At 38.6% G+C, this 17,671-nt stretch overlaps 1 protein-coding gene and 1 pseudogene across 11 annotated transcripts in view; one reads left to right on the top strand and one right to left on the bottom strand.

Annotated features, from left to right (window-relative positions):
• Positions 1-17,671, bottom strand: part of CASK (calcium/calmodulin dependent serine protein kinase) — a 408,621-nt gene that overhangs the window by 223,799 nt on the left and 167,151 nt on the right. For all 11 annotated transcript variants that reach the window (NM_001126055.3, NM_001410745.1, NM_001126054.3 and 8 more), the window contains exons 4-5: positions 6,792-6,869; positions 652-724 (exon numbers count right to left, since the gene is read on the bottom strand). In NM_001126055.3, the coding sequence (NP_001119527.1) occupies positions 652-724; positions 6,792-6,869 (151 nt within the window). The remainder of the gene's footprint in view (positions 1-651; positions 725-6,791; positions 6,870-17,671) is intronic.
• RPS15AP39 (ribosomal protein S15a pseudogene 39) lies at positions 9,451-9,929 on the top strand (annotated as a pseudogene).

Below are 17,671 nucleotides of genomic sequence, written 5' to 3' on the forward strand. Positions count from 1 at the left end.
GATTCTGGGCCTTGGGAGAAGCTAGGGATCAGGAGGAAGGCCTACTGGTCTCATTTCTTGCCTCCCTCTATGTTTGGCTTGACACCGTTAAAGAACCAGGAACTGAGAGTTCTCATTAACCCGATACTGGGATGAAATAGGCAGAAAGACTGAATAATGATAATACCGGTATTCCAAGCATAAAATCGTATTACATGTATAATTATGATTTCATACTATATTTAAAAACTATCTGCAAAAAAATACAATGCTGACTATTCTGCATTGCAATATTATGAAAATATGTTATGATTAACTTTTACTATATAAACCAAATTCTAATTTCCCCCCCAATTAACTCAGTATAGGATATTGTTTGGTTTTTCCTATTTATTGGATTTTTCATTTCTCTCTCACACACAATGGCAAAAGAGAAATAATACAATTTTAGATTGCATGAACACTTCAGTAAAAATAAATAAATTGAAATTATAGTGTTCCTAGTAAGAATTAGTACAATGACTTCCCAAATACAAAGCAGTTAAATACATTTTTACTTAGAAGTAAAATTAAGATGTTCTTTATGACAATATTAAAGAAGAATTCTTGATTATCATTGTTATATCAGTATTTCTTCACAAACATTAAAGTTAGTGATAACAAATGACTTACCTTCACATCCCTGTGAATTATGTTATTATCATGGCAGTAGCGTAGAGCTTCCAGTATCTGTCTCATATAATGGCTGTAAAAAACAAAAGAAATCTAAAAACTGTAAACAATTTTTATTTTAAAACTTAATATACAGTGCTCCTAGTTTATAACTCCCACTCTCATATTAGCTGTCCATGGACACATTTGATTTGAGCAGACAGGATTGGTGTAAAGTGAGGCTTAATAATGAAAATGTTGGCAGACTCAAAAGTTTATGGGCTTCATGAAGAAATAGTATGCTCTATATTTTCTAAGCTATCTAAGTCAAAAGAATTACACATAGTTCATAAGTAAATTTGCTTTGCAAACTAAAAATTCAAGCTTAAAACATGACAATTTTTTTCCCCAATACTCAGGTAATTCTACTTAAACTGGACTGCGTTATGTAAACAGTGCTCAGGGCTGCCCCAAGGATTCAGACTCAAGCAGTGGGAGCCTTTGATCTGCCAGCAAATAATAAGATGCTCTTCATCTTACTTCTATTTAGCTGTGAGGACAAATGAGGGAAGAGCCACCCTTATCGGACAATTTCTTTTTGTAACATAATCAAGTTTTAGTTGGGGCTCCCTTGAACAAAGTGGAGTTAATTCTAGGCACATGTCCTAGAAAGCCTGACTCCTTACATGGCCAGCTGAGGAGCCCTCATGGAGCACAGGTGAAGAACAAAGAAGAAATCAGCATTTTAAAGAACAGGAATTAAAAAATGGTAATGGGGTTAACTAGCAACCATGTGTGACAAGAGCAGTTGATTCAGTACCACTTTAGAACCTCCTTCTCCTATTTCTAAAGTTCTTCTATAATTGCCCTATTACTCTTTCTCTGAGTATCTGTTTCATTTTCTGTATTTTATTCCCTCCATATTTGTCTCTTTTCTTCCTATTCCCCTTCTTTTCTCATTTTTTCCCTTTTCCTTCCCAACCAGCATGACAGAAATGCAATAGACTTAACACTGTTCACTGTATAATATTTATAGAATTTTGTTTTGTTTCCAGATCTTATATTTCTGATACAAGTGACCTTGAACATGTGTATGTGACTCAGGACTAAAAAAAAAAAAAAAATCCCTATCCTGGCTTTACAATTAAAAGACATTTCCATCAAGTTCCCTCTTTGGCATGATACCATTTAATCAAGCTCACAGGAATATTTCTCTAGTTAGCATATGCATTATTTCATGTATTACAATTAATTGGAAAGGTTCCATTTTAAAAATGAAAGGTAGGAGAAAAAACAAAAACAAAAACAAACCCAAGCCTTGTTCCTGTACTAATCACAAGCCTTGTTCCTGTACTAATCACAGGCTCCTTACAACGGGGCTTTAAGCCAGAGAGCTAGGCTCATGTAATCATTAGCTCTGATGTTTTAATTTATCTTACTTTGCAAATGCACATATAAGGGGTTGTGCTCATATACTCTTTGCTTGGGCCATTGTAGCCTGTAATTAAGTTTTGTTTATTTTTTATTTTTATTTTTTGAGATGGAGTTTCCCTCTTGTCTCCCAGGCTGGAGTGCAATGGTGGGATCTCGGCTCACTGCAACCTCTGCCTCCTGGGTTCAAGCGATTTTCCCGCCTCAGCCTCCCAAGTAGCTGGGATTACAGATATGCGCCACCACGCCTGGCTAGTTTTTGTATTTTGAGTAGAGACAGGGTTTCACCATGTTGGCCAGGATGGTCTCAAACTCCTGACCTCAAGTGATCAGCCTGCCTCAGCCTCCCAAAGTGCTGGGATTACAGGCATGAGCCACCACGCCTGGCCATAAGTTTTGTTCAAATGAGGGGTTAACTTGGTGTTGTGGCCCATTACTGGTTCAAATCAGGCTTTGGAAGATCTGTAACCCCTTGAAATGGCTAAGAGACTACACCTGTCAAAGTGCTTTGTAAACTCTAAACCATGCTACAAAGGTTAAGACATTATTAGTACAATATTATTATTGTTAAGTTCAATCAAAGATTTAGGAACAGCTTATTTGTCCATCTAGATGTCAACATGGAAATACTGGGTAAATTTAAATTAGTTAAAGTGGACATAGCTTGTACCCACAGAATGAACTATTTTGGATACAAAGCACTGAGACAGCCACCTAAATTATCTTTAACCTAAAGAAAATTCCTATCTCAAAGTCTCATAACACAAAACCAAACTCAATGAATGAGGCTTTTTTCATTTGCATATGAGAACACTCAATTACTTGACCCAAACGTATGTACACAGCAGAATCTTTGCGGCGTGTGTGGAGACAGTGGAACTGTTTTTCTTCCCAAGTTATAACAGAACTGAACTATCTTTCTCCACCCTCCCAGTCATGATCCTGCGAGGCAATGCATGTCAAAGTGTGCAAGCAGAATAAAACAAGAACTAAAATCTGCCCACATGTTCTAGGAAGTTGCTGACTAAACTTTTAATCAAAAAACTTCACTTCATGAAGCATCATAGAGACCTGTGCTTTCAGAGAAACTCAGCAATATATTTGTTTATCTTTATCTTTCCTAAGGATCAGCAAGATAATAACTCCATGGAAGGAAAAAGCTGGCCAGCAATGCATTTACTGCCTTTGGAAGGAGGCATTTCAGGGGTGCAGCATGGTAGAAGAGAGGTGATTCAGTCTGCTATTCTTGTCAATGCAGGTGAAAAGCCTAATGCTATTTGCTAGGCAGAAGAGACCTTATCTCTGAAATGCCCTTAATAGGATATCTCTGGCTAAGGATTACTATGGTAAGTAGAACACGGGATCTCTGAGGCACAGATGGCTTCCTGGAGAATGTCAATGGAGCTATCCAAATCTCTGGGGTGTAAAATGAAGATATTTGCAATGCTCCCCTTTGTGTGTGGAAACCCACAAACCCCAGTATAAACCTCATCTATTCTGGGCCAGAGGTGCATTTCTGAGGCAGTAAGAAGTGACGTGGGGGGCTGCCCTTCCCTTCTCTGCTTCACTTGAGCCTTCTGACTGCCTGTATCCTTGAGATTATTTAGTAAAGCTTGGTACTAGTTAAGAAGATCTCTGAGAGTTTGATTTGATAATCTGATCTTGTGTGTTAGCTCACTCCACAACTCATCACCCCTGAAAGGATGGAGGTAATAACTAATTGGGTTGCACTAAGGACTGAACACAGTTTTATTTTATGCCATGCTTTGCTGCTCCTCTTGAAGCTCAGCCAGTTGGAGAAAAACAACATTATCAATTTGATTACTTGGTGTCTCAGAGTCTTCTTGCAGTCGGTCTCACTAGAATACTGATACAAGCTGAATTTCCTAACAATAAATCACAGAATCAGAGAGGACGAAGAAAGATTAGAAGTCATCTGTCATTAAACCAATGGAAGAATCTACGCGCCCTTGTTGCATGGTCATTGATCCTCTGCAATAGCAAACACACATAATAATACTTTCTGAGTCCCCGCCTACTTTTTTTTATTGTTCAGAGGAAGAACCTTTAATAAACTGCCTCCAAACCTCTCTCTTTGCAATGTCATCTACTGGTCCCAATGCTACTCTTTTCTGGTCCACTCTGGAAAGTTCCTTTCACCATTTTAACAGCTTATACAGGTGGCTTTAAAAATCAATAGGCTTTCATTTTGATGTGTATAAACATCTACCTTTTCTATAAATCTCAAGATTAGGAGAGACCACAAGTCATGTCATTGTATGACATCATCTCTTCACACTACCATCCTGCTTATCCTGACATGTAGCCCAGTGGCAGAGATAGGCTTGAAGTTAAGGAAAAGCAATAAAGATGACTGGGGACCAGAGTAAAAGTGGTACTGGTTTCACATCAATCCTGTCAGCATACCTGCCAGGTATCCCCGTGTTATTGTGGTTCAAGAAGGGAAAAATCCCCTTCTTCCATTGAGTTTCACTAGTATTGACTATTTTTGGTATGAAAGAATGCTTTAAAATTTTGAGGGACAAGAAAGAATAAAAATTTAAAATTGTAATAAAAACTCAAAATAATAGAAGATGGGATTTAAAAAAACCCTGGAATGTGCTTTAGAGAACATTGCACAAAAGAAAAGAGAATATTTAGCTTTAGTTCTACCGCGTATAGATCAGAAGCCTAAAGAACACACATAAACTTTCATTTGCTCCTTCGCCCTAGCCCCAGCAGTACAAAAACACAGCGACCACACATTGAGCATATTCTTTATTTTGTGCCATAGCCATGGCTGCTCCATCCCTGAGACTAGGTCCCTTGCTCTTCAGCCAGAAGGAGTCAGGGCAATGAATTTGAAGACATTCAAGTCATGCTGAGCTCAAAGCTGTATTAAGGTGGTCTCCAAGTTGTTTCCAGCTATGTTTGTCTAAGATGCTATAATTGTAAAAGAAATGGTAAGACAGAGGAAATCATTTAATATAACTGTTTTTCAAATGATAAAAAGTTTTCATAAATCCTAGGCTAGGAACAGTAGGTAGTTCATGCCTACAATCCAAGCACTTTGGGAGGTTGAGGCGTGCGGATCACTTGAGGTCAGGAGTTCAAGATCAGCCTGGCCAACATGGTGAAACCCCATCTCTATTAAAAGAAATACAAAAATTAGCCGGGCATGGTGGCGCATCCTGTAATCCCAGCTACTTGGGAGGCTGAGGCAGGAGAATCACTTGAACCTGGGAGGCAGAGGTTGCAGAAAGCTGAGATAGTGCCACTGCACTCCAGCCTGGATGACACAGTGAGACTCCGTCCCCCGCCGCCCGCACCCCCCGCAAAAAAAAAAAAACTTAATATGTTTGTGAGTTTGAACCCTTCAACATACTATGGCTGGTGACTAAGGAGGGATGCTGTATTCCATGTATTAAAAAGGCAACCTACAGGAGTGGGTAATTATGATTGAATGTAACCAAAACAGAAAGCTGTGTTGCTCTAAATGTATAAGCAAGTGGCCCAGCACGTGCATGGCTCCTGTGATTTTTCATATTTACTTCTTTTTTTTTTTTTTTTGAGACGGAGTCTCGCTCTGTCGCCCAGGCTGGAGTGCAATGGCACGATCTCTGCTCAATGCAAGCTCCGCCTCCCGGGTTCATGCCATTCTCCTGCCTCAGCCTCCCGAGTAGCTGGGACTACAGGCTCCCGCCACCACGCCCGGCTAATTTTTGTATTTTTAGTAGAGACGGGGTTTCACTGTGTTAGCCAGGATGGTCTCCATCTCCTGACCTCGTGATCTACCCGCCTCGGCCTCCCAAAGTGCTGGGATTACAGGCATGAGCCACCGCGCCCGGCCCATATTTCCTTCTTATTTTGAGTCATTAGGTCTTTACAAACAACTTCTCCACTTAGAACAACAGCTGCCATTTGATTGGTAGGTCTCACACTGGCCTGAAGCAAATATATTTTTAAAAATGGTGCTTTTATTTCTCTTCCTTTTACTGTTCTTTACTTTTCCTTAATTATTGTGAGATAATTTGATATCACTAAAAGGCAAAATGAAGAACTAATGAGGCAGATTTGCCAAAACAAAAATAAAAAAACCCAAGTAGAATTCTACATGGTTCCTGAGCTATTAGATCCCCGCTTCCTGTACAAAAATCATCAGAAATGGGAAAGACAGCAGTACTGAAAATGTAAGCCTGTATTATAAACCCACGTTTTCATTTTATTTATTTATTTATTTTGAGACTGAGTTTCGCTCTTGTTGCCCAAGCTGGAGTGCAATAGCGCAATCTCGGCTCACTGCAACCTCCACCTCCTGGGTTCAAACGATTCTCCTGCGTCAGCCTTCCGAGTAGCTGGGACTACAGGTGCATGCCACCACGCCCAGCTAATTTTTGTATTTTTAGTAGAGAAGGAGTTTCACCATGTTGGCCAGGATGATCTCGATCTCCTGACCTTGTGATCTGTCTACCTTGGCCTCCCACAGTGCTGGGATTACAGGCGTGAGCCACCGTGCCTGGCCCCTATAAACCCATGTTAATAGATAAACTCATTGTTCGGTATTTTGCATTTCCAGTGACTATCGGTTCTACTAACACATACTAAAACAGAGATGTTCCCTGTAGCAAAGAGCAGCAGCATGCTCTTTATCAGTTTGTCATGTGATGTCTTTGTCATTTTCTTTTTTTATTTTCAACTTGACCTCTGGTGATTAGATATACAATACATACCTGGCTACAGCTTCACTGTACACAAAACCAGCGTCAGCTCGCTTTACGATTTCAAAACACAGATCTGCTCCATCCATACTGTAAAAAAATGTGAAAAAGAACATAAGAAAAGAGGAAATTCCAGGAAGACAACACTGAAAGTGAATACATTGTAACTAAGTTATTAGTTGATTTACTGCTAAGGGTTATGTTATTTAAATCTCCTTTCTTTCAATGAAATATAGACATAAATTATAAAGGGCATGACAGTCATCTTCACATTGAAAATCTGCAGGGAAAGAAACAGGAAGAGTAGGCTAACAGTAATATCAAATAACATTGAGTATATAAAATTGACTATAATTTTTCTTTAGGTTTTCACAAAAAGAAGCATCAGAAAACAGCAATGCTAGGGTTGTGTGCATATTTTTAAGTCAAATTCCAAAAATATTCAGTTATGTAGAATACAAGGATTTAAAAAACAATCTTGCTATTGTTATTACCACTAAATGGAAAATTCAGGCTATATACTGTGGAAGGAAAAAACAATGACATATATAAAATAAAATTTATTTTTGTTTACACTGCCATTCCCAAAGTTCATCGCTACAAACATATTGTAACACATAGATGTGTTGGTAACGCAATGTCACGATATTGTCTTAGAACTTACAGTAGTTTTCTATTTCTTACTAGATAAGTAAGGCCTCTTGTTGTCTTGGCCACACCTTGCCTCTTCTACCTACCTTGTCCACTGATGTTTCAAGAAAATCTTCCTCTCTAGGCAGAATGGTCTTATTATCACTCCCTGAGTACACCATTTTCTTTTTTACTTTTGTATATATTGCTTTTCATTTTCAAAACCTACCTTAATTCAAGGTTTCATTCCAATCCTACCTTCCCTGGAAGCCCCCTCAATGATTACCAGCCATATTAATGCCTTCCTTTGCTTTTCATTCTATAACAACTCTATATGGTCCATAACATTTAGCACATACAAACACCTCCCCCTCCCCCCACATACACCTATATATGTATACATGAATTTTGCCATATTATACATATTAATGAAACTATGCAAATATTAACAGCTAACATTTTCATAATGCTTTAAGGCTTATAACATATTTTTAAATCCAGTATCTCATTCATTCATTCATTCATTCAGTAGTTCAGTTTCCCAATATACCTGCTGCAGATATTATACTGAGGAAATAGAAACTTCTGGAAGGGAAAGTAAAGGAACTAACATACTTCCTATTCATGAGGCATCATAGGAAGCAGTCCTTGTTATGCCTCCCTTCATACTTATAACCACCCCATGAGGTCAGCATCATTTTCAAATAATTTGTCTAAGTGAGTGGACAAGTATGTGATAGGGACAAGATCGAAATCTCTGTCTAGCTATGTCCTGTGCTCTTCCCATTGATTATAGCTATACCTACTGGGTGTGCAAGGAACAAATGCACATCTTTAAGCCCTACAACAGTTCCATGATAGTGTAAAGTCCTAAAGAACAAGAAAAAATATATTTATACTTTCAATGTACCCCTACCTAATACTCAGCAGAAGACACACTGTAGACACCTAATGAACAGTTGATTCTATTATTTGATTCTCGGTGTGGTTTTATATAAATGAATGAAAATACTTTCACATTTATACAGGCTCTAAAAACTTTACCAAGTTTCCATTTCACACCTAAGGAACATTTTCCAATGTCAAATAGGATTCTTCTCCAAAATAATGTTTATAGTTGCCTAGTCTACTATAAACATTATTATAATGGTCTAGTCTACTCCCTAGTATGGCAGCACTCATTTTCCACCATCAGAAATAAAGCCTGGATGAACGTGATCATGCATCTTGGTGAGCAACTCTGATTATCTGTATGGTAAAATTCCTACAAGCTGAGTTGCTAGGACAAGGGGTATATACAATAGCATTTTTTTTTTGAGACGGAGTCTTGCTCTGTCGCCCAGGCTGGAGTGCAGTGGTGCATCTCGGCTCACTGCGAGCTCCGCCTCCTGGGTTCATGCCATTCTCCTGCCCCAGCCTCCCAAGTAGCTGGCACTACAGGCGCCCGCCACCACGCCCGGCTAATTTTTTGTATTTGTTTTAGTAGAGACGGGGTTTCACCGTGTTAGCCAGGATAGTCTCGATCTCCTGACCTCGTGATCCGCCCGCCTTGGCCTCCCAAAGTGCTGGGATTACAGGCATGAGCCACTGCGCCCGGCCTACAATAACACTTTTGATACATACACAAGACCAGAAACAGTTTAACAATTTATACTCCCACTACCATGTGTGAATGTGTCCCTTGCTCTACTAGGATAATGATTATTTTTTTTCCATCTTTGCCAATTAGATAAGAGGAAAAAAGTCATTCATGATTGCTTTAATTTGCATTTCCTTGATTACTACAGAGAGTAAATATTTTTCATTTCTTTGTCCTGTGGGGAGAAAAGAAACGCTATTTTAAAAACTGGCTGTAGTTTAAGCTGGTTAGTTGATCTATGAGGACTAAAAAACATCTCATAGCGAAGGAATCAGTTTTGCTTAGGCGTTTTCCTTTGTAATTGTGATATATGAGGGTAAGCACGATTCAACTTAGATGAGAGAGGGGTTAGGAAAAGGAGAGAGCTAAACTGATTGCATAATGAAGCAATAAGAATTTAGGCTCTTTCTGCCATCTCTCCATGCTGCCATAATGGTGTGCATGAATGTCCTGGCTGATGCTATCCAGAGCATCAACAATACCAAAAAGAGGCAAACACCAGGTTCTTATTAGGTTGTGCTCCAAAGTTACTGTCCAGTTTCTAACTGTGATGATGAAGCATGGTTACATTGGTGAATTTGAAATCACTGATGATCATAGAGCTGGGAAAATTGTTGTGAACCTGAGGTAGGTTAAACAAGTGTGGAGTGATCAGCCCCAGATCCCAGATTTGATGTGCAACCCAAAGATCTAGTAAAATGGCAGAATAACCTGTTCCTATCCCACCAGTTTGGATTCACTGTACTAACGACCTCAGCTGGCATTATGGACCATGAAGAAGCAAGATGAAAACATATAGGAGGGAAAATCCTGGAATTCTTTTTCTAGGGATGTAATATATACTTACAAATAAAATGCCTCAATGGACTCTGGTGTTTCCAAAAAGAATTTGGGAGATGTTCTGAGAGCTAGAGGACTTTCTGGAGGGACCCAGAAGGGATGAGGGAAAAGACGGAGCCTGGGGAGGAGGCAGCAAAGTGGTGAGAAGTATAAAGACTAAGGAGGGAACCAGTCCGTGAGAAATACTTGGAAATTATTTACTGCCCTGTGCTATAATTATCAGCAAGGATCAATCCATTTTGTCTGGTCATATCTGAAATACTGGTACTTGAAATGACAATCTCTACACATGTGCATACACACATGGGGGTATTTTTAGGTTTCTACTTTCTTCCACTGACTTGCCTATTCTTGCATCAAGTTACCATTTAAAATACTGTAGGGCCGGACACAGTGGCTCACACCTGTAATCTCAGCGCTTTGGGAGGCCGAGGCGGGCGGATAGCTTGAGGCCAGGAGTTCGCGACCAGCCTGGCCAACATGGTGAAACCCTGTCTCTACTAAAAAAATACAAAAAAATTAGCCAGGCATGGTGGCCTGCGCCTGTAGTCCTAGCTACTCTGAAGGCTGAGGCAGGAGAATCACCTGAACCCGGGAAGCAGAGGTTGCAGTGAGCTGAGATTGCACCACTGCACTCCAGTTGACAGAGCGAGACTCCATCTCAAAACAAAAACAAAAACATGGACAGACAAAATAAAATACTGTAGTAGCAGCTTTTAATATTTGGCAAAAAAAAATCTCATTATTCTTCACCAATTTTTTTTTTTTTTTTTTTTTTTTTTTTAGACAGAGTCTTGCTCTGTCACCCAGGCTGGAGTGCAGTGGCGCCATCTCAGCTCACTGCAACCTCTGCTTCCCAGGTTCAAGTGAGTCTCCTGCCTCAGCCTCTCAAGTAGCTGGGACTACACGTGCTTGCCACCATGCCCAGCTAATTTTTGTATTTTTTTGTAGAGACAGGATTTCACCGTCTTGGCCAGGCTGGTCTCGAACTCCTGACCTCAAGTGATCTGCTCACCTCGGCCTCCCAAAGTGCTGGGATTACAGGCACAAGCCACCACAACTGGCCTTCACCAACATTTTCTTATGATTTTTTTCTTCCCAGTTGACTTTTAAAATCATTTTGTCAAACTATAAAAAATCTTTGTATTTTGATTCAGATGGTAAATGTATAGGTTAACTTCTAGAAATTAACATTTTCTAATATTCTCATCAATGAACATGATATGTCTCTCCACTTCCTTTCATGTCTCTAAGTTATAGTTTTACGATTTTCTTTATATTGGTTTAAAGTATTTATTATTAGGCTTTTTCCCTGTACATGTTATATTTTAGTTGCTATTGTAAATGGGATCTTTCAGCCATTATATGTTTTTTTTTAATTCAATGCTTCATAACCACAGATATCAAACAAAACCACCTGTGCAACTTAGTAAATATACAGGCACATTCTTTGAAGGGTTACTCTGAAAGAGAGGCATCACTGTGAAAATATTTTTCTATTATTAAAGCTATTTGATTATTTATAATATTAATTGATATTAAAGTAAAAGAAGCAATCTACTAATTTTAAATTTCATGAGATATAGAAATAAAAACTAAAAATACTGTTATTTATGCAAATTTTATTCAACGAAATTTAAAATACACATATTCATAATACATACCATCCTGATATCCTAACCTTGAACCTTTTGAACAAAGTTGATGACTCAATTCTTTGATAAACTTTATTTGATAATATAATGATTCTACAAACTGACAAGGCATCTTTTATTGCTCTTCTCTTTGGCTTCCCATCTTGGGGTGCTTCTGGGGCTGTCAAGAACCCCCAAAGAACACATTGTGAATTTTCCTAGTTGGCTCCATTCTGAGGGAATGAAAGGAGAGGGAGAAGAAACCCTCCTATGGAAGAGTATGGGGGAGGTGGACTTCTATACTGTATGCAGAGAGAAATTAAGGGCAGTTTAGTCTGAATTGTGAAAAGTAATGGGATTATGAATGAGCTTAGCTGTCTCTCCTTTTCATCCATCTGAATTTTTAAAATTTATAATAAACATGCATTATTTATATAATTAAGAAATTATCCAAAACCAAACTCATCAAATAAACAAAACAGATCACAGGTCTTGAGGCACAAGGTATTACTGGCTGCACATTGAGGGAGATCAGAATATGCCACTCCAAAATATGCTGCTTTGGCAACAGGATTATCTGGAGTTGAAGGCACAAAATCACGTGCTATGATTTCACAGCAATGTCAAATTGCTGTAACAGTTTCTAAATGTTTACTGTCAATTTCTGTATGTATCTCATGGCAGACTGGTGACAGATTGGTACTTATCTGCAAATATCCTTGAAGAACACTGTTGTACAGAGCAAATCTGGATTTTTCCAACCAGCATTTTTTCTGAGGATGACAAAAACGCCAACTACAAAAACTGTATGAAATGTTTAAAATTATTTATTTATTTTTTAAATGGAGACAGGGTCTCGTTTTGTCACCTAGAGCTGGACTGCAGGGGCACAATCATGGCTCACTGCAGCCTGGAATGCCTGGGCTCAGGTGATCCTCCCGCCTCAGCCTCTGAAGTAGCTGTGACTACAGGCATGCACCACCACACCTGGCTAATTTTTTTATTTTTAATTTTTGTAGGGACAGGATCTGGCTATGTTGCCCAGGCTGGTCTGGAATTCCCGGGCTCAAACGATCCTTTTGCTTGGGCCTCTCATCTTAAAGTGCTGGGATTACAGGTATGAGCCATTGTGCCCAGTCAAACAAAAAGTTTTTGTTAAAGCTTGTGAGAATTAACAGTATAGTGAGTGAAAAACTAGTCCTGAGAACAGAGAAAGGATTACAACTCAAAGAGGTGAACAAGAGCTGCTTCTGCCCTAGGGGAAGAATGTGGGTTTTGGAAAGGAGGGGTACTTTTAGGAACTCTAGAGAGGTAGGAGGGGGTGGGGTGGTCAGATGGAGAATGACAGGGTCCAGTTGCTTTTGCACCAGGGTGATCTAAGAGGTTAAGGCTCTGATGAAACACCCTTTGCTCCTGGCTGGGACCATAGAGCTGCACTATGAAAAATGGGGTACAGAATAAATTCTGGTATGTCATGTTGGTAGCACAGAAAAACCTCAATGCTGGTTGGGCATGGTGGTGGCTCAGGCCTGTAATCCCAGCACTTTGGGAGGCTGAGGCAGGCAGATTGCTTGAGCACAAAAGTTCAAGACCAGCCTGGGCAAAAGAGTGAGATGCTGTCTCTACAAAAAATAAAAAAAAATTAGCTGGGTGTGGTGGTACACACCTGTGGTCCCAGCTACTCAAGAGGCTGAGGTGGGAGGATCGCTTGAGCCCAGGAGATTGAGGTTGCAGTGAGCCATGACTCTGTCAGTGCACTCCAGCCTGGGCAACAGAGCAAGACCCCATCCCCACCCACCAAAAAAAAAAACACAAAAAAAAAACACCCCAAAAACCTCAATGCTTACTATGGAGATAAAAGCTCAGTCTAAAAACTTCTGCAAGAAACGAGTACTCAGAGTATGTTTCCTAACCACAAAGTAGTTATGTTAGAAATAAATTAACAAAATAACTAGAAAACCCTAAATGCTTGGAAATTGAGAAATCATGCTAAATAGCCAATTAATCAAATAAGAAATCATCATAATGAAAATTAGAACTTTTTTTTTTTTTCCAAGACAGGGTCTTGCTCTGTTGCCCAGGCTGGAGTGCAATGGCATGATCTTGGCTCACTGCAGCATCCACCTCCCAGGGTCAAGTTATTCTTCTGCGTCAGCCTCCCGAGTAGCTGGGATTACAGGCGCACACCTCACGTCCAGCTAATTTCTGTATTTTTAGTAGAGATAGGGTTTTTCTGTGTTGGCCAGACTGGTCTTGAGTTCCTGGCCTCAAGTGATCCCCTCTGCCTCGGCCTCCCAAAATGCTGGGATTACAGGCATGAGCCACCATGCCCAGCAGAACATATTCCTAACAATGATAATGAAAAGAGTACTATCAAAACTTGTACAGGATTGGTACGTTACATTTCAAGATCAGGGTTTTGCCATTAATAGACCCACAAATATAGAAAAATGGCTGAAAGGAGGAGGGGCATAGGTCCAATCTTACAGGTTAAGAAGCTGGTGATCCATGTTACATACACAACTTGGCACTGGAGAAACCTTGCTTAAAGTAGGTAATCTACTATTGATAGAACAATACACCAATACAACTTTCTGAAGGGCAATTTTATAATGTGTGACAAAAACCTTAAACATGTATATGTCCTTCGGCTCAATTATTTCCTTCCAAGGGAAATAATTAGGAATACTGGTCAAGTTTTAATGACAAGGGTTTATCACAGCTATTTATAATAGGGAGAAATTAGAAGCAACCTAAATTCCCAACAGAATGGTTACATAAATTGTGGTAACTAGAGTAGAATATTATATTGCCATTAAATGATGTTATAGACATATATTTATTGACATAGATGTTCATAATACATTAACATGTATAAACATATATATGCATATTTATGTATAAGTAGATGCAGTGTGAAGCCTTTGCTATTAAAATGGGGTGTTAAAGACTGGGTAGAATTCTATTTGAAATTTTTTGTTTTCTTCTTTTTACCTTTACTTTTAAAAAAATGAATAGGCACTATACTTTTGTCATAGGAAATCAGTTCTGTTAAAAAAAAAAAGCAGAATGCAGATGAAATGGTACTTACAAAGTAGTTTGTATCCATAAACTTGTTTTAAAACTTTAATTAGAAATTTAATAGAAATATTGTGAATGCTGACTTAAAATATTAGAAAATATGAAAAGTTACCAAGTCAGTGACATCTCATCATGAGACATGTTTTAAAAAACAGCAAATTAAACCCAATGAAGGTAGAAGGAAATAATAAGCAGAAATTAATGAAGTAAAGAGACAAAATAGAGAAAAAGCAAAGCAACAAATAGATTCTCTGAAATGATTAATAAAGGCCAGGTGCAATGGCTCATGCCTATAATCCCAGCACTTTGGGAGGCCAAGGTGAGAGGATCATTTGAGGCCAGGAGTTCGATATCAGCCTGGGCAACACAGTGAGACTCCTTCTCTACTAAAAATTTAAAAATTAGCTGGGCATGGCAGCACATGCCTGTAGTCCCAGATACTCCAGAGGCAGAGGTGGAAGGCTTGATTGAATCCAGGAGTTTGAGGCTGCAGTGAGCTATAATGGCACCACTGCACTCCAACCTGGGCTATGGAGCAAGACCTCATCTCTAAAAAAGTAAATAAATAAATTTTAAAGCAATTAATAAATCTAGAAAATTCCTAACATTTGGAAACTAGACAATATACTTTTATTACATGTATCTCAGAATAAATCATTAGAAAATATTTTAAACTGAATAATAATAACAGTAAACACATCAAAACTTGTAAAATGTAGGTAAAGCAGTACTTAGAGGGAAATTTACTGCTATAAATGTACATATTAGAAAAGAAAGGCTGGCCAAGTGCAGTGCCTCACACCTGTAATCCCAGCACTCTGGGAGGCTGAGGTGGGAGGATCACTTGAGCCCAGGAGTTCGAGACCAGCCTGGGCAATATAGTGAGACCCCCATCTCTTCAAATAATAATAATAAAAATATTAGCTGGGCATGGAGGGGCCTGTTGTCTCAGCTACTCAGGAGGCTGAGACGGCCAAATTGCTTGAGCCTGGAAGGTCAAGGCTGCAGTGAGCCATGACTGCACCACTACACTCCAGCCTGGACAACACAGTGAGACCCTGACTCAAAAAAAGAGAAGGGCTAAACATTTAAGAACTAAACATCTACCTGTATAAGTTACATAAAGATCATCAAATTAAATTCAAAGAAATTAGATGAAAGGAAATAGAAGCAGAAATTAATGAAATGGAAGACAAACATATTCAAGAAATTAACAAAGCTAAAAGTTGTTCCCTGTGAAATGATGAATCTCTGGCAAGACTGATAACAAAAAGAAAAGAGAAAAGACACATATAGCACCCAGTATTAACAATGAAGGAGATATCATTTCATATGCTGCAGAAATAAAAGATGATACTGAAACTTTATGTCACAAATTTAAAAATGTATATGAAACCGACAAATTCTCAGAAAAATAAAACTCACCAAAATTAACAAAAAGAATTAGAAAACTTGAATAATCCTTTACTGATTCAAGAAACTGAATCAGTAATTTAATCTTCTGAGACAGAAAACTCTAGGCCTAGATGCCATTTCTGACAAGTTTTTTTTTTTTTTTTTTTGAGATGGAGTCTCGCTCTGTCACCAGGCAGGAGTGCAGTGGTGCCATCTCGGCTCACTGCAACCTCCACCTCCCGCGTTCAAGAGATTCTCCTGCCTCAGCCTCCTGAATAGCTGGGACTACAGGAGTGCACCACCACACCCAGCTAATTTTTGTATTTTTAGTAGAGATGGGGTTTCACCATGTTGGCCAGGATGGTCTTGATTTCTTGACCTCGTGATCTGCCTGCCTCGGCCTCCCAAAGTGCTGGGATTACAGGTGTTAGCCACTGCACCCAGCCCATTTCTGACAAGTTCTATTGAACATTCTAAGGAGAAATAAAAGAATAAAAAGCAGGAATAGTTTCCAACTCACTTTATGAAAATAGTTTAATCCATATACTAAAACCTACTGTGGACAGTATGAGACAATTAAAAGACAACCTCACTAAAGAACATAGATGCAAGTAACCTAAACAAAAGTTTAACAACCCCAAACAGGCAATATATAAGAATTACACCAGGTCCAAATTGAGTTTACCCGAGGAATGCAAAACTTTTAACATTTGGAATTAATATAATTGTGTACACTGATAGATTAAAGATGAAAGATTATGTGGTCAGGTCAATAAATGTCAAAACACTTAAAACTATGTATTTGTGATTAAAAAACTTAAAAAACTCTTAGATCAGGAACAAGCCAAGAAAGTCCACTCTAACAATTTAAACTCAATATTATTCTGGAGGTCCTAGCCAGGGCAGTAAGGCAAGATAAAGAAATAAAATGTATGAGAATAGAAAAGGAAGAAACAGTCACTAATTACAGATGGTATATATAGAATATCCAAAATAATCTAAGTTAAAATTAGAACTAAGCAGAGTTCAGCAAAATCATTGTAAGTTATATGAAATTTTAAAAGAGTGTTTCTTTAAGAATGTAGAAATAAATCTAAAAGAAAGGTATATAAGATCTCTGTGGAGAAAAGTATGATTTTTTTAAGAGAAATTAAACAAATGAAATAAATGGAGAGAAAATTATCCTGTTCACTGACAAGAAGACTCAATATTGTAAACAGCCGATGTCTTCCAAGTTGAAGCATAGATTCAACAGAATTTGAATGAAAATCCCAACAGGTTTTGTGGAAACTCTAAAGCAGAATCTAAAATGTATATGGAATTGCAGAAGGCCAAGAAGACTCAAGATATTCTGGAAGAATAACACCTCTTGGAGTTTTTGCTGTACTTGATTTCAAAATTTAGCCCCCACCTCCATGTCCACAGGTACTATGTATGGAATGTCCTACAAAGCTCAGTAATTAAGTGTATGATATTGACACTAGGACAGACAACAGCACAGTAGAACATAACAGAGAGCCTAGAAACATAACCATACATACATAGAGGCTTGATTTATGACAAAGGAGGATACTGGGCAAACACAGTCTCTTCAAAGAAATGTGTGCTTATGTGGACCAGGATATGTGTACCTGAATGTTTATAGCAGCATTGTTCACAATGGTCACAAACTG

The sequence above is a fragment of the Homo sapiens genome, chromosome X (assembly GCF_000001405.40).
Source record: "Homo sapiens chromosome X, GRCh38.p14 Primary Assembly".
Taxonomy (NCBI): Eukaryota; Metazoa; Chordata; class Mammalia; order Primates; family Hominidae; genus Homo; species Homo sapiens.